General features: G+C 49.4%; 1 protein-coding gene and 2 long non-coding RNA genes across 7 annotated transcripts in view, besides 3 other annotated features; 1 reads left to right on the forward strand and 2 right to left on the reverse strand.

Moving 5' to 3' along the window:
- CSRP1 (cysteine and glycine rich protein 1) overlaps positions 1-8,948 on the reverse strand; it is a 23,594-nt gene extending 14,646 nt beyond the window's left edge. For 2 of the 3 annotated variants that reach the window (NM_001193570.2, NM_004078.3), the window contains exon 1: positions 8,895-8,948. The gene's annotated coding sequence lies outside the window, so the exon portion shown is untranslated. Of the gene's footprint in view, positions 1-8,448; positions 8,665-8,894 lie in introns of those variants that run through there. The other variant, NM_001193571.2, reaches the window with a different exon arrangement.
- Positions 8,650-9,279: a silencer, noted in NCBI's record as "silent region_1692". NCBI's record gives its function as "represses an Ori minimal core promoter by ATAC-STARR-seq in GM12878 lymphoblastoid cells {active_cell/tissue: GM12878}" and the evidence as "EXISTENCE:reporter gene assay evidence [ECO:0000049][PMID:35858748]".
- CSRP1-AS1 (CSRP1 antisense RNA 1) overlaps positions 9,038-19,690 on the forward strand; it is a 27,572-nt gene continuing 16,919 nt past the window's right edge. For 2 of the 3 annotated variants that reach the window (NR_160747.1, NR_160748.1), the window contains exon 1: positions 9,038-9,244. This is a non-coding gene — a long non-coding RNA (CSRP1 antisense RNA 1). Of the gene's footprint in view, positions 9,245-16,168; positions 18,595-19,690 lie in introns of those variants that run through there. The other variant, NR_160746.1, reaches the window with a different exon arrangement.
- Positions 11,549-19,690, reverse strand: part of LOC124904484 (uncharacterized) — a 30,422-nt gene continuing 22,280 nt past the window's right edge. Inside the window, exon 2 of the long non-coding RNA XR_007066793.1 lies at positions 11,549-11,826. This is a non-coding gene — a long non-coding RNA (uncharacterized LOC124904484). The remainder of the gene's footprint in view (positions 11,827-19,690) is intronic.
- Positions 13,811-13,890: a silencer, noted in NCBI's record as "silent region_1693". NCBI's record gives its function as "represses an Ori minimal core promoter by ATAC-STARR-seq in GM12878 lymphoblastoid cells {active_cell/tissue: GM12878}" and the evidence as "EXISTENCE:reporter gene assay evidence [ECO:0000049][PMID:35858748]".
- Positions 14,041-14,250: an enhancer, noted in NCBI's record as "active region_2321". NCBI's record gives its function as "activates an Ori minimal core promoter by ATAC-STARR-seq in GM12878 lymphoblastoid cells {active_cell/tissue: GM12878}" and the evidence as "EXISTENCE:reporter gene assay evidence [ECO:0000049][PMID:35858748]".

The following is a 19,690-nucleotide window of genomic DNA, read 5'->3' on the forward strand; positions in this document are numbered from 1 at the left end:
TAACACTAGTGAGTGTGGAGAACAGATGGGGCCTGCTTCTCTCCTTCCATTTCACTCGCTCACTCAACAGACGTGGCTGAAGGAGGAAGACCACCCTTCCAGCTCTTTCAACAGAAGTTCATGAGGGAAGGGCTATACAAAGCACCACCTACAGTGGGTACAGGCTTGGTGCCGGGGGTTGCCCAGGACTTGGTGAGTAAAGGACACAGGGAGGTGCCGGGAAATAAAGGGGCTGGGAGTCAGAGGGATCTGTTGCCTCAGGAGGCAAAGGAGCCTAAGGAGAGAGCTCACGGAACCTGTCACATGGAAATGTTGAAAACCGGGATGTGGCAACGAGAGCCCACCCTCCTGGTAACAGGGCTTGCACCAGCAGCTGGAGAGTCAATGTCAAGGGCAGAGGGAGATACAGTCTCCATTACTGGAGAGCTCCCATTTGAGGGTGACACGGGCCTCAGCTCAAGAAGGGATCCAGGTCACGTTCACCACTCTGTCCCCATGCTCTGCATAGCACTTGGCACGTGGCTGTTCATATAGGTGGCCAGGAAATAGCTGAGGAATGAATGAAGGATGCACTAATATCGAAAGCCACAGCTTCTGGGGCCATTTTCTCTGCATGGTGAATCTCTGCAGAGCCTGGCTCCTAGTGGAGGTGCTTGGTAAGCGTGTGCAGGCTGAGAGGCAGAGCTTACTGTGGGGAAGTGGTGTTAGTGATGCTGGGGGATCTAGGTAGACCATGCCTGCTGCATAAGCCCAGTTCTCCCTTTCCCAGGTTCTGGAGCAGCCGCACTTCCTCAGGCTCCCACACATCGCTGACATGCCCCGCAGGAATTTCTGTAACTGCTCACATCCCCATCTCTGTCTTCCTCAGATAACCCATGCGGCCTGAGCCCCCAGATCCAGGGACAGTCCCCATTCCCAGCCTCTGATGTTGCACTGTTCCTTCAGCCTCTTTCTGTACTGAGGACTGCTAGCTGCCCTTGTCAAGCAAAGGTTTGGAGCTGAAAACCGTACGATGTGAAGGACAGTTAGACAGGAACAGCAATCAGCAATGTGTGTTATGGTCGGCCTGATCATCGGCCATTTCCCCCTTCTTCCTTGCTACAAAACCCCGATTTTATTCAGGCCATTGAATGACTGGGGAGATGCCCCTTCCCCAGATGGAGGAACAGAGCCTCTGTCCCCTAAGCCAACCATGGAGATTCCATTCCCTTGCCAGTGGCTGGATCAGGAACAGGCTGAGACCATTTCTGGCCAGTGAGATGTGAGGGGAGGTCTGCTTGGGAAGCTCTTGTGAATAATGTATCCAGTTGTACAGACCCACACAAGCTCTCTTCTCCCTCTGATAAGGTGACTCAATGTGACCCTTGGAACTCAGCCATGGCACCCACACTGCCATGGACTGAATGCCTACTATGCATCAGATGGCTCATCTGCATCATCCCATTTCTTTATTTTTTCAAGATGGAGTCTCACTCTGTCACCTAGACTGGACTGCAGTGGCACAATCTCTGCTCACTGCAACCTCCATCTCCTGAGTTCAAGCAATTCTCATGCCTCAGCCTCCTGAGTAGCTGGGATTATAGGCGCCCGCCACCACCACCATACCCGGCTAATTTTTGTATTTTTATTAGAGACAGGGTTTCACCATGTTGGCCAGGCTGGTCTTGAACTCCTGACCTCAAGTGATCTGCCTGCCTCGGTCTCCTAATGTGCTGGGATTATAGGCATGAGTCACTGCTCCCAGCCACATCATCTCATTTCATCCTCATCATCCGAAGATAAAGAATGTATGCCCACCTTACAGACAAGACAAGCAAGGCTCAGAGCGGTTAGGCAAGTTGCTTATAGTCACACAGCTGGAAGAGATAGACCTGGGATTCTAATGCAAGCTCATCTATTTCTGAATCCTCTGGGTCCCAGTCACCATGCTGTGGCCCTTGCATATTTAAGAGGGGCTGCTCATGATAGGCATACAATACATCAGTGCTGGCCCTCTTCCTCGGCCTTCTCCTTTTCCAACCCCCTGAACCAGCAGGGGACATACTCAGGCCCCTAGGAACACCCCTAAGGGAGGAAAATTCCCCTAGCCACATGGTTGGGAGCCAGTTCCAAGCACTGTTTTGTTACAGACACAAAAGCCCTTCTCCCTCTGGGGGAGACCCACAGCTCCATACAGGCCTCCCCTTGTTTTCCCTGGCTCCGTGTCAGGGGCCCACATCCAGCAGGGCCCCAGGGAATCAAGAACATGGGCGGAGAAATGGGTGAAACCCAAGGACCTGCCAGTAAGGAAAATCTGCTCAGGACGTCTCTTAGCCAGGCTGCTCTTTTGAGCCTGGTCATTTAGTTAGGGCGAGGGTGGGGGGTCTCCCCTCAAGAGCCCAGTGAAAGGACAGGGCTCTATTGCCTTGAGATGAAAAGTGATGACTCTATCCCTAGCCAGGAAGGGTTTCAGGCAGTGCCTGTGGATGAGGTCCTGTCCCCCTCTGCCCACAAGAGGACCCCTCCAGGTGACCCTGCCTGTGGGGAAGAGGCTCAGCTGGAGGGAACCCTGGCAACAGGCAGGGCTCAGTCTTCACTCCACCTCCTCCCTTTCTGCCCTTCTCTCCAACAGCCAAATTCTGCCTGTAGGGAGGCCGAATTGCCTTAAAAGGAAACCTGTTTCTCAGAGTTCATGGAGTGCCTTAGAGGGACACTTGGCTCCTTCTTAATTGCCTTCCCAGCTCTCCGGCACAGAGGCCCTGCAGAAGGCTGGGACAAGAGAAGTTCCCAAGGTCAGAGTTCAGGCTGTACAGGTCAATGGTTAGGAAAACAAGAGCTGGGATTCGATCAATATGGATTTACCCCTTCCTAGCTGAATGATCTTGGGCAAGTTACTTTCCTTTCTGAGTGTCAATTTGCTTGTCTCTAAAATGGACCGTATATGGACTCCCTAAAATTCAGCTGTAAGGATTAAATGAGGAGGTATGGAAGTGATGGCCAGCACACTGTAAGTGCCCGCCCCTCTGACTACCACTCACACGACTGGACCAGTCATACGTCGACTCCACACTGCTAGATGTGGGCCAGCCATCCACATGTAGCTAGTCCACATATGGAAGGAGCGAGGCTTAAGAAGTACCATGCCAAATAGGGCCAGGAACTCCTGATTCATCTGCTAGCCCAGCGAATGAGTCTGGGACAAGTTACTTGCCCTTCTTTGGGGTTTAGCTCCCCCCAGCTGTCTGTGATGTCCCATTTCACTCTGTTGACCATCTCAACAGAGAACAGAGCTTGAATTTTCTACTGAATGGCTGGAAACACCTGGTCAGCTGTTTTCCTGAAACGGCTGGCGGCTAGAAGCCTGCTGTGTCTGCTGCTGCATCTTCCTAGCCTGGCTGTCCCATTAGGACTGTACCCAGATCCCCAGTTAGGACTGTACCCAGATCCTCAGCCTTGAGACAAGAAAGCCAAGGTGGCAGCTCTTACAGCAGCAGCAAAAGGAGAAGAAAAAGGTCACAGACTCTCAGTCACCCCAAATCTCATGAAAGTCAGGCTCGGCTGGGTGTGGTGGCTCACGCCTGTAATCCTTGCACTTTGGGAGGCTGAGGCAGGCGGATCACTTGAGGTCAGGAGTTCGAGACCGGCCTGGCCAATGTAGTGAAACCCCATCTTTAATAAAAATACAAAAATTAGCCGGGTATGGTGGCGGGCACCTGTAATCCCAGCTACTCCGGAGGCTGAGGCATGAGAATTGCTTGAAACAGGAGATGGAGGTTGCAGTGAGCAGCGATCTTGCCACTGCACTCCAGCCTGGGCAATAAAGCAATACTCAGTCTCAAAATAAATAAATAAATAAATAAATAAATAAATAAATAAAGTCTGGCTCAGGTGACAGGTTGAAGGAACCATCGCAGAGATGTAAAATCCCTAACTGCCAGCCACCAGTGTCTGAAGGCAAGCCCCTTCTTATCAAACCCTTCAAAACCATCCCATATCTTTATTTCTACAGTGGAAAAATCCCATCTCTCCCATTCCAAAATCATTTATTCCCTAGGGCCAAAGAGTGACTGACGGCACAGGGTTAAAGTCCCCATCCACTTGCTCCAGTAGAAACCTGTCAGATGTTTATCTAGCTCCCTCGCATTAGCTGAGCTGCTTGGTATCTGCCAGGTGGACAGGAGGGCTGGCATCCCTTCCAATCTGCAGCTCGGCTTTTGCCTCCACGCCCCAGTGTCCAGAGAGCAGCTGAGGGCAGAGAGAGGAGGGGGCTGGGCTGGTCAGGGCTCAGAGCCAAGTCTTAGAAGTGACACCTGAGAGCTCAGGAAATCAGCCTCTCCTGAAGCTCAGGGTCACGGGTAGGGGGAGAATGGCTGCCATGGAGATGGGGCAGGCTTGGCCTCAGCTTTCCATGTCCCACCTCATGTTTCCTTCAGAACCGTGCACATGACCCGCCTCTCTGAAAAGGTAACCAGCATCACTGAGCTACCATCAATCCAGGCCCCATGGGCCTCCAGAACTTGACTGTCATTCTAGGTCAGGAATCCTTCTCTCTATTGAATGAGCTTTCTCTTTTCAAATCCATGTCCAGTGGCCCTTGTGAGACTGTGAGCTGACAAGGGCGGTATATGTCTCTCCCTTTCCCCACTTGCCCCCAGTGCCTTCTAGAGCAGAGCTCCCTACTCTTGGAGTTCAGAAGTTTGCAGGGCGCAGTGGCTCATTCCTATAATCCTAGCACTTGGGGAGGCTGAGGTGGGTGGATCATTTAAGGTCAGGAGTTTGAGACCAGCCTGGCCAACAGCGTGAAACCCCATCTCTACTAAATATACAAAAAAAAAAAAAAAATTAGCTGAGTGTGATGGTGCACACCTGTAATCCCAGCTACTTGGGAGGCTGAGGCAGGAGAATTGCTTGAACCCGGAGGCAGAGGTTGCAGTGAGCCAAGATCGTGCCACTGCACTCCAGCCTGGGGGACAAAAGCGAAACTCTGTCTCAAAAAAAAGAAGTCTGAAGGTCAACACAGGTAGAAATGGAGGTCGATGACTTCTTTGTAGTATTTCAAAACTTCTACAGGAAATCCTGTATTATAATAAAGCCTCATAGACAAATTAACAGATGGGGTTTCCTTGCTTTTATCCAGATCTGTAATGATGTTGGTTATTCCATGCTGAACAAAATGGTCTGAATGATTTTTCTTTGATTAATTTTTTACAAGTTAAAACACATTAGCACTTAGGCCTTAAAAACACAGGTCGTTTGCAGCTGACATCCCAGGAAGCACCAACACACGCCACCCCTGCATAAAGAAAGCCAGGCACACAGTCGGGGGTAGGGGGTGCTGGCTGCCTAGCTGGGGCTGAGCTCCAGCTGCTAACCTTCCATTTCTTCCCCTGTTGTCACCGCTGAAGACTCAGACGCTGCCTTCTGGCCCTGGGGAAGCACTGGAAATACCAGAGTCTGGAAATGCTAGCTGCCCCCGTATTTACACACTTTACCATACATGGGAATTACTCAGTGCTGGCGTCAGACACATTCCTGGGTAGCTGCGTAGTACAGGCACGTCATTACCATATAAATTCTTGACAACTAGAAACAGCAGTCGGAACCCAGGACCCCTCCACCTCACCTTCTCTGCCCTCCCCTCAAGTTTTGCTAGCTCTCTCTTTCTCAAGCACGCTCTTTTCCAGGCTTGTTTTCTTTCTGCAAACCTGGCTCTGAAACTCAAACATGCAGAGCTGGTGAAAGCATATCCATTAGTGGCTGGGAACTAACTCTCAGGGGTCCCCTCTGCTCCTACCTGGCCATGCAACAGACTGAAAACCCGGAGGTCAGGAGTTCTAACCCTGATCCATCCAAGTGAAAGATATCTTCCTTAAATAGTTTATAAGCCACTGTAAAGCACCTTGTAAAGCTGATGTGTTTCACAAATGGCAGATATTTCCTTAGTGAGTTGATCTGGAAAAAGGAAATGTAGAGGAGCAAAGAAAAATAATAAGGTAGTGACTGAGCATACGTTTTGGAAACAGTCAGCTTATGTTTGAATGGCAGCTCCACAACTGATCAGCTGTGATCCTGAGCAAGTTTCTTACTACCTCTGAGCCTCAGTTTCTCCATTTGTAAAATGGAGAGCATCAGTAGCTACCTCATAAATTGTCCAAGATAACACATGTGAAGTATTTCTCACACTGTCTGGTACACTGCAAGTGCAGATATCTGGTTATCCTTATCTTAAGGAGAGGCCAACTCTAACACTTATCGTTCAGGTTTGTATCTCTTTTGATATTTGACAATATGCCCTGAGTAATGCCAAATGGCTGACTTGGAGGAAAAAGTCTTATTCTCACTAGCACCTCTTTGGATCCCAAAATATTTAACGCATGTGTCTTCATCTAGCAAGCCAACGTTTCACAATAAGCTAGGCTTACATACATATTTAAAACTTTAACAACCTGCCAGAAAAGCCTTCCCAATTTGCTTCCCACACCAGGGATGGACAGTGAATTAAAAACTATGTTGCTAGGCGCAGTGGGTCATGCCTGTAATCCCAGCACTTTGGGAGGCTGAGATGGTGGTGGGGACAGGGAGGGGATCACTTGAGGCCAGGAGTTCGAGACCAGACTGGCCAATATAGTGAGACGCTGTCTCCAAAAAAAAAAAAAACACCAGGCCGGGCGCAGTGGCTCATGCCTGTAATCCCAACACTTTGGGAGGCCGAGGCAGGTGGATCACCTGAGGTCAGGAGTTCAAAAACAGCCTGGCCAACATGGCGAAATGCCGTCTCTACTAAAAATACAAACAATTAGCTGGGCATATTGGCAGACACCTGTAATCCCAGCTACTTGGAAGGCTGAGGCAGGAGAATCGCTTGAACCCAGGAGGCAGAGGTTGCAGTGAGCCAATGTCACGCCATTGCACTCCAGCCTGGGTGACAGAGCAAGACTGCCTCAAAACAAAAACACACAAAAAAGCCCAAAAAAAACCTACGCCTTTTTTCTCTCACCTGCTTGTCAATCTACCCAAGTGGAAAAACTGGCTAGTAACTATTTGCAAGGTTTATGAGTATCCCGTAGGCCAACTCAGCTGAAAGACCATTGCTACCCCACTCATTCATCAAATGTTTGCTGATCACTCAGTCAAGTGTCACTACACTCCCAGGCTGCAACTCTGGCCCAGTCAGGACTCACTAGCTCCAGAGGCAGATGCACATGTGTGCAATTAAAAGAGCAAACACCTGGGCCAGGAAGGCAGGTGCTAAGACAGACCACAGGCAAATAGGCCACAGCACCCCTGTTTTTCCCATTTTATTAGCAGGCCAATTGCAGAGTTGATGGGCCTTCTCTTTAGTTTCTCTCCTGCTTCTTCTTCCCCATACCCTCCATCCTGGGCATCTCAGGCCTTGCAGACAGTTCTCTCCTCCCTCTCCTCTAACCCACACTACACCCTCTGCAGGATAAACTTCCTTCCTCGTCTGACTGCCTCCGCCCCGGATATCCTCTCCAAGGCAAAGAGTCATTCACTGGAAGACCGTGAGCAGGAGGAGGCTGGATTTAGGAAACAATGGGTAAAAGCTGCCCTCCAGCAGCTGAGGGCTGAGGACAGTCTCTCTCAAAAGAGGTAGCCAGAAACCAGCTGGAGAGTCAGGAGGCAGCAGTTGAGTGAGAGCAGTTGAGGGGAGGCTCAGTACCCATCCCCAAATCCCACCTGGGGAAAATCCCCAACATGCAGTCTGAGAGGACAGAGGGAGACAACCAGCACCTCCAGCCTCCTTAGCTTCTGGGAGGAAGGCAAGGGATGAGGGGAGGACAAGAAAGACAGTAACTGAGAGATCACTCCTGTGTTGGAGGTTCTGTGTAATATGCTCCCCAAGTAGCATCCCTGAAAGAAACTGAGACATTGAGAAGTTAAATAGTTTGTCCAAGGAAACCTGCGCGTTAAGTGGCAAATCCAAGAGTCAAAACTCTGCCTTCCAAACAATCCCACCAAGACTCCAAGCCACCTCTTCATGATATACTGATATACTTTCTACCAGGGCCCAGTGGATTTCCTCGGTGCCACTGTGATAGTATCCCAGCGTGGGGAGAGCCTGCCCATTCATTCACTCTCAGGGAGCAGCTGGTGGGTGGCTGGAGCCCAGGGCTCTAGGCAGAGCCTGAGCCCACTATTGCTCCAGCCGATTCCTGGGTCCTGGTTAGTTCACAACAGCACCAGAACCAGAAGCATGCAAAATATTCTCTAGTCTGTACCAGTAGATACAATACCTGCCTCAGAGGGCTGATTGTTAGCTAACACATTGTGATTTGCTTTAAATGTGCTCAATACCAGCCCCTTTATCACTTCCCAGCTTTCAAGGACTGAGGCCACAAAACACTGACTGCAGGCTCTTTCAGGTTTCAGTAACCATCACCACCTAGCACCAAGATTTGGAGTGGAGAGGTTTCCATGCAGTTATTTCACAAGAGGGAAAACTCACACCTGCGCTCAGGGACACAGATGTCCAAGGTCAGGCCCAGATGTTTGCCCCACCCCGCCCGCGGGCATTTTCTCCCCAGCAGGAGGGTGAGGGAGGGGGTGGCACGGATGCCCTCATCTCTCTGCCATACAATGAGCGTCAGTGGCGCGCAGAATCGCCGATTGTTCTGCCCGACTTGCAGGCGGTTGCGGGGAGCCGGGTCGCCCTGGGTCACGCACACGCGGAAGTCAACTGTGTCCAGGAAGCCCAGGAAGGCCCGGGATGGGGACGGACCTAGTGCCTCCAGAAAAGAGCAGCACTGCCCGGGCTAACTGCGGTCACTTCTCACAGTTCCCCGCCTGCGACAGCCCCGGGGCTGCGGCGGGGCTGGCAAGACCGGGAGGCGCTGAGTGCGTGCCCAGGCGCCCCTCCGCGGCGGGCAGAGCCGCGCGACTCAGGGCGCACTCACCTGGCAGCTGGCTCGGCGGCGCAGGGGCGGCAGGCGCTCTCGGAAGTGGCGGCTGGGTGCGCCCGGCCTGCGCGCCGTTTTGTTCCGCTCCGCGGAAGGCGTGTCCCGGGCCACGCCAACCAGTGGGCTTTGCACACTGCACCACTCCAGGGCTGATGTCATGGCGCGAAGCCCGGCGGTGCTGCCCTCCTAGGCCCCGGGAAGGCCGGCCGGCAGGGGCGGGGGCAGGAGTCGCCGACTCTGGGGGTGCTCCGAGCTCGTGCTGCGGTCCCACTGTGCGCCCTGTCGCCGCCACCGCGGAAAACGTCTTGCACGTGCGAGGGGCATTTCAGGAGTTTCCTGTCTGTCAGGTGAGAAGGCGGAGATATGACCTTAGAGGTCAGACCCATGATAAACTTGAGCCCCTAACGAAAGGGTGTCTCGAATTTACTTGTCCTGGTGGCAGAGGGTGAGGGACACATTTTGGGCGCCAGGGTAAGACAGACCCTTCCAGGGCAGGTCTGATTCTGCCCATCCACTCACTAGCTGGGCCCTGGGCCTAGACAGCCCTTCTGGGTTCAGGGTCATCTGTGAACGGCGTGTAATCTACAGGGATGTGAGGGGCTAAAAGGAGATCCGGTAGGACCCGCAGACCTTCAGCAGCACCCGGCATGTAATAGACACTCAATAAATGTAACTCCCCCCTCCAACAGCTCTTGCCCCTCAGTTTTTCCCAGTCTTCCCTGCTACCCTAAGGACAACACCTGGAAAAAGGTGTTCTCCCGCAAAAGCAGCAGTTCTGAAAAGTGGGTGCCTCCATAGAGGCTTTTCTCTGGGGCTCCAACCTTCAGTAGGACAGACACAGGCTCAGGCCACTCAAGCTGCCCCTGGGGCAGTTTCCAGGGGACATTCTGTCCACACCTCCTCACCCAGTCCCCAGCCCTTCCTGAGTGCCCCGTGCAGGCATTTCAGGGAGCAGAGAAGCTCACAGCCTCCAGCTGGTCACCCTACACCCCAGGTGGCCCATAGATGCAGCTGCTATGTCTTCCACCCTGGGCAGGTGTCAAGGGTTCAGGCCCCAACCGGCTTCACTTAAAGCCCTGGTTTGCTGAATCAACTTTTTGCCAGGAATAAAGTTAAGCATCTTATGATCTAGAAAATGAAGTATTTGGCCAGGCACTGTGGCTCACGCCTGTAATCCCAACACTTTGGGAGGCCGAGGCAGGCAGATTGCTTAAACCCAGGAGTTCGAGACCTGGTGAAACCCTGTTTCTACAAAAAAATTAAAAAAATTAGCCAGGCGTGGTGGTGTGTGCCTGTAATCCAAGCTACTCGAGAGGCTGAGGTGGAAGGATCACTTGAACTCAGGAGGCAGAGGTTGCAGTGAGCCAAGATTGCACCACTGCACTCCAGCCTGGGCGACAGAGCAAGAGTGTTTCTCAAAAAAAAAAGTGTTTATCTAGGTTTTTCTTGCTTTCTACCATAAGTAACATCTTTCCTTTGGCCAGGTCCATCCTATAAACAAGGCCCTCCAAGATTAAAATGTCTAGAAGCACACAACCAGTGTTTCTTGCAGATTGGGCCATCTTCATCTGACCCAACCAAGATGAAGGAGGAGAAACCAGAAGAATTTCTGGTCACGGCTGCACTGACTAAGCAATAGTTAAACAGGTCCATTAAACTGCAGAACCACCATCAGTGTCAGAGACCAAGGGCTTCCGCCCAAAGATGGCGATCCCATGGGATTTCCCCCTCTCCTTTCAATTCTCAGTATCTTGGAGAGATGAGCCTCGGAGTTTTGCCCAGGATTTTACAAAAGGGCAAACTCCTACATTACCTTCTTTGGTCTGGGTTTGTCCTCTCTGGAGTCATGGGACTGTTGATAGATTTCCCTGTGAGGACATGCCAACCTGTGCTGTGAAATGGCTTTAGGGTAGATCCAGAAAAAGAAGAGCAGTCACTGCAGTCACACTTGGATTTCTCCCAGATCTTAAAGCACCTTATAAACAGAATGGCTGTACAATGTGTCATCTAAACCAGAATGCTTTGGATAGTAAGTGGTATGTGGTAGTATTCGTAACTACACTAAGGCAACAGGACTATCTCAGGCAGTCCAGGGCAGATGGTCACCCCTCTTTTCCACCCAAAGACTGTCAGGTCACTTGTCTTAGGAGCTGTCTACGCAGAGCTACAGATGAAGCCAAGTAGGACCTGCCTTGTTTGGTGTTTTTCCAGAACCTCTCACCTTCTGACTATATTATTCTCCCAGCCTGCTGCCAGTTACTTGGGCTTGGTCTTAGATAGCACATTTGCAGATAAAGAAGACTTGAGGGATGAGGAAGGGCTTTGGGATTGAGTTGAGTCAAAGGTGATGCTGGGGTTACCCACCATGCAAACAGGAACAAGCCTGATGTTGAAATGACAGAAAAATCAGTAAACATCATCAATACTTGGGACATCCTTAAGGCAGAGATTCTCATTCTGCAGAGGTTCTCATTCTGGCTGACCTCATTTATATAACCATATCTAGACTGGCCCGAGCTGGTCAGCAGCACCCACATCTGCAGAGACAATGCAGTCAGAGCTCATCACCAATAAATTATCTGCTAGGGGTTCTAGAAGGAGGCTTGGCACACTTAGGGGCTTACCTGCTTCTCAGGACTCTCACAAATGTCTAACCTTTTCAGTATCTTTATGTTCTCTCTGTGCACTCTATTTCCCAACACTTCTGGGTTGGTATTTGATGGCTGCTAGGAATGAAGTGGGGCCTGTTACAGGCAGGAAGTAGGGCCCCTGTCCTCCAGCTTCCAACTTTGTCTGCTGCTTCCTCTGGCATCTTTTCTTCTCTTTCCTCCCTCATCAGCATCCTGATGCTACATCTTCTCTCTCCTCTCCTGTGGTGAAACCCTTCTTTTCCGCATTGATCCCAAGTGAAGAGGACCTGAGTGTGAGGCTGAGGAAAGAGTAAGGGAATGTGTCTGGCTTAGCTCTGCTCATCATCCCAGAGAAATTAGAGATCCAGTCTGGGCTGGAGATCTTCTTGTCCATCCTTCCATCCATCTGTCCATCCATCCATTCATTCATTCACCCATCCATCCATTTGTTCATCCATCTGTCTCTCCATCCATCCATCCCTCCCTCCATCCATCCATCCATCCATCCGTCCATCCACCTGTTCATCCATGTATCCATCCAACCATTCACTCAGAAGACATTTATTGGGGCCCCACTCTGTGCTGGTCTCTAGGTTCTGGGAATACAAGGAAGCCTATAATTTGGATCCTGACCTCAAGAAGTTTACTCATCTAATGGTCTAAAAAAAGAAAAAAAAAATCCAGCCCTAAACTTGCAGTTTGAGTCTCAGCTCTGTCATCTATGATTTAAAATACTAATGATGGCTGGCGCAGTGGCTCATGCCTTAATCCCAGCACTTTGGGAGGCCAAGGCCAGCAGATCACTTGAGGTCAGGAGTTCAAGACCAGCCTGGTCAACATGGTGAAACCCCATTTCTACTAAAAATAGAAAAATTAGCCGGGTATGGTGGCATGTGCCTGTAATCCCAACTACTGTGGAAGCTGAGACAAGAGAATCGCTTGAACCTGGGAGGTGGAGGTTGCAGTGAGGCGAGATCCAACCACTGCACTCCAGCCTGGGTGACAGAGTGAAACTGTGTCTCAAAAAAACAAAAAACAAATAAAATACTGTTGATAATGAGGAATAATTATAATTATTAAGCATTTACTACCTGTCAGGTACTTTACACAATTGTCCCCTTTAATCTTCGCAGTAGCTGTATGAAGTAAGGACTATTTTTACCCCCTGCTTTGCATGTGAGGAGACCAGGGCTTACAGCAGTAGCTAACTTAGTAGCTTTGTGACCATGGCCTAGGCCTCAGTTTTCCTCATGTGTGAAATGGGAGGTTGGACTAACTCAGTATTCTCCAAAATTTCCACTGAGGTACCTCTGACAGCAAAGAAGTAAATGTAAGGAACCCACAGTGTTGTCAGAATCAATCCACTCCCAGTCCTTGAAGTCTTGGGGTTTATTGCAAAAATTTATTTGAATTTTGCATTCTCCTTGGCACATAACTGTATTTGTCTTCATAAAAAGATAATGTTTAAAATGACTCACTGGCCAGGCACGGTGGCTCACACCTGTAATCCCAACCCTTTGGAAGGCTGAGGCAGGTGGATCATTTGAGTCCAGAAGTTTGAGACCAAGTTTGGCAACATGGTAAAACCCAGTCTCTACAAAATATACAAAAATTAGCTGGACATGGTGGCATGCTTGTAGTCCCAGCTACTAGGGACGCTGAGGTGGGAGGATCGCTTGAGCCCAGGAGGTAGAGGTTGCAGTGAGCCGTACTATACTCCACTGTACTCCAGCCTGGGTGATAAAGTGAGACCCTGTCTCAAAAAATAAATGAATAAATAAATAAAATTACTTACTGTTCAGAGAAATGGAGTTCTTAGGAAATGTATCGTGCTTGGTGGGTAGTATCTCTGTGGGCCCCTGGGAATATGACTAGGCCCGCCTACCCACGTGGGTGATCTGCAAGGCTCTCCCTGGCTCTGGCACTGTTCGGCTGTGCCTAGGCTAGGATGAGGCAAGTCAAAGGGGGCTTGTGGAATAAGGCCCAGCATTTGCTTTCAGTCCCTGTATTCATGTTTTCTAAGGAAGATTCCTAGAATCTCTCAGGGTTTGCTGGAGAAATGAGCTTGGCAGCCAGAGGCAAATGAAAATCGGAAAAGGCAGTGTATACATGTTATAAGAATAAAATGCTTAGAGGCAAGAAAAGGAGAAATCCATTTAGAAAGGAACAAAATAAAAACTCTAGGGGGTTCCTGATCCAGAAATCTCTTCTGATTTTCAGGCTGAAATTTACACTGTGAAGCTCCAGGGGAGCTTGAAAGGTGATATTCAGAAATGCACTGGGGTGGCTCAGGGTTGGGTCCTTAAGAACACTGTGAAACAGTCTAGATAGGTTTTTAAATGACCACTTCCTCTTCCCCTCCCCTTGGCCTGAAATTGATGTAAGGTCACTTCCCTCCTGCTCCCTCTGCAGCCACTGCCTCTGTCCCAAACAGGCAAAACTGTGGAGTGGCTCTCACAGCCAAAGTGTGGGGAGGGGAAAGCAGGAGGAGCTGGGGACTCAGGGCGGGAGCAGGCGGCAGGGAGCTCCCGGGCAGCTGGCTGTGCATGGCTCCACTGTTCCGAGCCTGACAGGCTCTAGGGAAGTGTGGCCACAGGGAGCTGGCTGAAGGCTCAGGAGAGGCTTTTCTGACAGGCCCAGTTCCAATCACGCCAGCTCCTAATCTACTGATCAGTTTGCTTTCCTCCTGCTTTAAAATCTCTTTCTCCCTGTTCTCCTGGTCCCTAGCCACACCACCTTCACTGCTCTGATCTTATCTATGATCACCTGGCCAATCTACTTAAAGCAGTGAAGTAGACTGAAAATAACCAGACTTTCGGCAAAACTCTTTTTTTTTTTTTTTTTTTTTTTTGAGACGGAGTTTCAGTCTGTTGCCCAGGCTGGAGTGCAGTGGGGCGATCTATGCTTACTGCAACCTCCACCTCCTGGGGTCAAGCGATTCTCCTGCCTCAGCCTCCCAGCCTGGGACTACAGGCATGCGCCACCACACCCAGCTAATTTTTGTATTTTTAGTAGAAACCCTGCAACACGGCGTTTCACCATGTTGGCCAGGCTGGTCTCAAACTCCTGGCCTCAGGTGATCCGTGCACTTCGGCCTCCCAAAGTGCTGGGATTACAGGCGTCAGCCACTGCACCCGGCCTTGGCAAGACTCTTGACTCCTCTCCTCCATCAGGGTCGATTATATTAAATTACACTGACAGAAGAAAGGATTGGATGACTTTTGAAGAACTATTTCAACCCAAAGACAAGCTAAGGAAACATTGAGTTCACTCACCTGGAAGGTCTTGGAGGGCAGGAATTGTAGCTTACCCTCCTTTGTAGCCACACAGAGCCTTACATGGAGTAGGTGCTCAGTATTTTATGAATGTGTGCGTGGATAAATCCATAGTTTGCAAGAAACCACGAATAAGCTTGCCACCTGCTGGTGAACTTGTGAAAGACACCTCGCCGCACCTCGGCTCCCCCAAGTGGCCATACACTGTAATCCTAAGAAAACCCTCAGCTTGGACAATCCTTTCTTTCCAAGGAGCCCTTTGTTACAGGAAGTCCCAATCCAGACCCCAAGAGAGGGTTCTTGGATCTCACGCAAGAAGGAATTCAGGGCAAGTCCATAGAGTAAAGTGAAAGCAAGTTTATTAGGAAAGTAAAGGAATGAAAGAATGGCTACTCCATAGACGGAGCAGCCCTGAGGGCTGCTTTTTGCCCATGTTTATGCTTATTTCTTGATTATGTGCTAAACAAGGGGTGGATTATTCATGCCTCCCCTTTTAGACCATATAAGGTAACTTCCTGACGTTCCCATGGCATTTGTAAACTGTCATGGCACTGGTGGGAGTGTAGCAGTGAGGACAGGTCACTCTCGTCGCCATCTTGGTTTTGGTGGGTTTTGGCATCCTTCTTTACTGCAAGCTGTTTTATCAGCAAGGTCTTTATGATGTGTATCTGGTGCTGACCTCCTATCTCATCCTGTGACTTAGAATGCCTTAACCGTCTGGGAATGCAGCCCAGTAGGTCTCAGCCTTATTTTACACATCCCCTACACAAGATGGAGTTGCTCCAGCTCAAACACCTCTGACAACTTGATACTTATTCATAAATCCTTTTGACTCTAACTCATATCCTACATTCTTAGCAGAGAAGCCAAAAATGTCCTAGGACACTAGTCAGTGAAAAAGGCCTTTGAAAGCCCTGGAAGCTGTTTTGCAACTCAGGACCCTCTCTTCTCCACTGGTAGATGTTCTCTCCCCAAGATCCCTTTCCCTATCCTTCACGCATCCAGACAGAGAAAGCCTGTATTGAGCACCCACTATGTGCCAAGCACTGGGCTAGGTGCCGAGAGATATGAATGGAGAATGGAGACTTTACAGGGAGGGGAGAGCTGAAGTGTGCACCCAGATGTGGGAGAGGAGACTGGCACAGGAAGAGCACCGGGAGTTCAGACAGGGAGAGAACTCCATTGTGGGGATCAGAGAAGGCTTACATGGGAGATGACAGGCTAATGAGCTGGGCCATAAAGGGTGGTTAGGCTCATAATGTATGGAGATGGACAGCATTCTGGTTACCTATTGCTCTGCAACAAACCACCCCAAACTTGGTAGTGTAACAGAGCGGTCATTTGTTTTTCTCTCTCATGGTTTTAGGGTTTTCCCAAGCTCAGCCGATTGTTCTTGCTGGGATCTCTCCTGTGATTACAGTCAAATGAGAGCTGGCTGGATTCTTCACTGAGTCTCCCTTACTCCTGTGGCTGGAGGCTGATGCTGGCTGTCAGCTGGGACCTCAGCTGAGGCTGTTAGCCAGAACCCCTACATGTGGTCTCTCCATGGGGCCTGGACTCTCTCACAGCATGGTGGCTGGTTGCAAGGAGAAGCATCCCAAGAGATAGCAGGAGAAAGTTGTCTTGCCTTTTGAAAACTGGCTTCGCAAGGCCCATAGCAGATCTTCCCCTGTGCTCCACTAGTTGAGACAGTCACGAAGCCCCACCCAGTTTCAAAGAAGGGGACAGAGACTCCATTTCCTGATGTGTGAGTGGCAAGGTTCTGGAAGAGTATGTGGAATGGAAAGCATTATTGCAACCATTTGGGGAAAATACAACTTGCTGCTGGCAGGAAGGTCATTTCAGGCAGAGATCTTCATTGATGGTACCTTCAGAAATGCATTTTTAGGAAAGAAAGTGGTTTTTACAGACTTGGCATTGCTAAGGGAAAACATAAGGTTTTAGAAGTATTTACTGAGCCATCTTCACCAAGACTTATGAGAAACATTTCTTCGAAGAGAAGATGCTGAGGAAGAGGAAGATGACTTTTGAAGTGGACTCCAAGGGGCAGACAGGAGGCTGGGATGGATGGCAGCTCACAGCTGGCAAAGGCAGTGGACTAGCAATCATGGGTGAAGGCCTACCAAGACTGATTCTTAGAGGGGGGAGAATTGACTTTGTGTTCTTATAGCAAGTGACCAGGAATAACCAGATGCTGTGTCCAAGCTGAGTCCTCAAAAACAGTAGTAGGCAGGGGCCAAACCAGAAAGCAACAGTTAACAAAAACTGTATTGTAGCAAGAGAGATAAGATAAGCACACAAGTGTAACCACCCAACGGGTTCACCTTGTCTGCTGCCTAGACAGAGCCGATTTATCAAGACAGGAGAATAGCAATGGAGAAAGAGTAATTCACGCAGACCCGGCTGTGCAGGAGACTGGAGTTTTATTATTACTCAAATCAGTCTCTCCGAGCATTCGGGGATCAGAGTTTTAATTTGGCAAGTAGGGGCTTGGGAAGTGGGGAGTGCTAATTGCTCAGGTTGGAGATGGAATCATAGAGGGTCGAAGTGAGTTTTTTGTGCTATTTTCTGTTCCTGGGTGGGATGGCAGAACTGGTTGAGCCAGATTACAGTTCTGGGTTGTGTCAGCTGATCCACCCAGAGTGTAGGGTCTGCAAGATATCTCAAGCACTGATCTTAGGTTTTACAACAGTAGTGTTATCCCTAGGAACAATTTAAGGAGGTTCAGATTCTTCAAGCCAGAGACTGCGTGACCCCTAAACTGTAATTTCGAATCTTGTAGCTAATTTGTTAGCCCTGCAAAGGCAGACTGGTCCCCAGGCAGGAAGAGGGTCTTTTTGGGAAAGGTCTATTATTAATTTTGTTTTAGAGTCAAATCATGAACTGAATTCCTTCAGGGCAAAGTTATTTCCACCTATGCCCAGGAATGAACAAGGACAGCTTAAAGGTTAGAAGCAAAATGGTTAGGTAGGTCTGATTTCTTTACTGTCATAATTTCCTCAGTTATAATTTTGCAAAGGCAGTTTCACAAGCAACCACAAGGCATAACAGCTATCATTTGGGGGTAATACAGGGAAGCAGGGAGCAGTCATCATGCATGAGCAAGAGCTGGGTCAGAGATAAGACACAGCCCCAGGTTAGAAGGCAGCTTCACAGAGATGAATAGGGAGTGAGATCAAGGACCACAGCAGAGGTTGACAGCCCAAGGCCCTTGATGGCACTATGACCTGAATGTCCAGGATCTTCCATGTCAACCACCAACTTTATAGGAAAGGGTGCACGAGCCAGGAATAATGGTGGTCAAGCTTGGCTGTGTGGGAAATAGGGAGTTTGCCTGCCTGGCAGCTGCTGAGTGTCTCAGTAGTGAGCTTCCAGCTACACAATATCTGGACCCTGAGACCCAAAGAGGAAGGAGACTTTGGCTTCCTTTACTATGGGCATTCTGTGACCCACCCTGGCAATGAGAAGGACTAAAGAACTACAAGATATTAAATCTACCTTATGTTTTTCACTTGCTTATGAGCACTGGAGCTCCATCACCTGAGCCCCCACTAAGTGCAGATGTATGTGACTTTAGAAAGGTTAGATTTACTCTTCATAGCTCAGGGTATAAAGAAGTGGTCCCAATAAAAGTTTCCTTTGCTACAGGGGGCTGAGGACAATCATGAGGTTGTGAACTCTTTGAGGACAGGATTAGATCTTGGTCAATATCTGTATGCTCAGTGCCTAGGGTAGCATCTAGTTCATGCAAGGAAGGAAAGGAGAGAGGAAGGAAGGAAGGAAGGAAGGAAGGAAGGAAGGAAGGAAGGAAGGAAGGAAGGAAGGAAGGAAGGAAAGAAAGGAGGGAGGGGGGGAGAGGGAGGGAGGGAGGAGAGTCAGATAATACAGAGAGGCCATACCATGAATTCTTAGTCATACCTGACCTGGCCACTCCAGGAGCGCCAGAAGAGTTGCTGGAAGCCCACATAGACATATGGTATATGATAACATTTTTTTTTAAAGAGATATAATTCACATGTCATATGATTTTCCCTTTTAAAGTGTACATTTCAATGGTTTTTGGTATATTTACAGTTTTGCAATCATCGCCACAGACCATTTTAGAACATTTTATTAACCTAATAAGAAAGCCTGTACCCATTTGCAATCACTCCTGCTTTTTCCTGCAACATCCCTAGCAACTGAAACTGTCTTTGCAAAAATTACAGCAATGAGAAAATTATCACAGTGAAAGAGATCCGACCTAATTGACTCCATCTTGCTTCTAATCTCCAAGCTGCCCTTGTTCATTCCTGGGCAGAGGCTAAACTAACTTTGGGAGGAATTCAGCTTATAACTTAACTTTGAAGCAAAGATGAAAACAGCCTTTTCCCTTAACACAGCCCCTTCTTGCTTGGGGACCAGACTGCTTGTGTAGCACTAACAAATTAGCCTCAAGATTAATGCTGACAGTCCGGGCGCACAGTGGCTCAGGCCTGTAATCCCAGCACTTTGGGAGGCCGAGGTGGGCAGATCACCTGAGGTCAGGAGTTGGAGACCAGCCTGCCCAACATGGTGAAACCCTGTCTCTACTAAAATTACAAAAATTAGCTGGGAGTGGTGGCGGGGGCCTGTAGTCCCAGCTACTCGGGAGGCTGAGGCAGGAGAATCGCTTGAACCCAGGAGGCGGAGGCTGCAGTGAGCCAAGATCGTGCCACTGCATTCCAGCCTGGGCGACAGAGTGAGACTCAGTCTCAAAAGATTAATGCAGACAGGCCACGAGATTTTGAACCTCCCCCATTGCTCCGAAAGATAACATCACTATTGTAAAACCTAAGATCAGTGCTCCAGACATTTTTCACACTGCATTCTGATGCACCAGCTGGCCCCACCCAGATCGGTAATCTGG

This window comes from Homo sapiens, chromosome 1 (assembly GCF_000001405.40).
Source record: "Homo sapiens chromosome 1, GRCh38.p14 Primary Assembly".
Taxonomy (NCBI): Eukaryota; Metazoa; Chordata; class Mammalia; order Primates; family Hominidae; genus Homo; species Homo sapiens.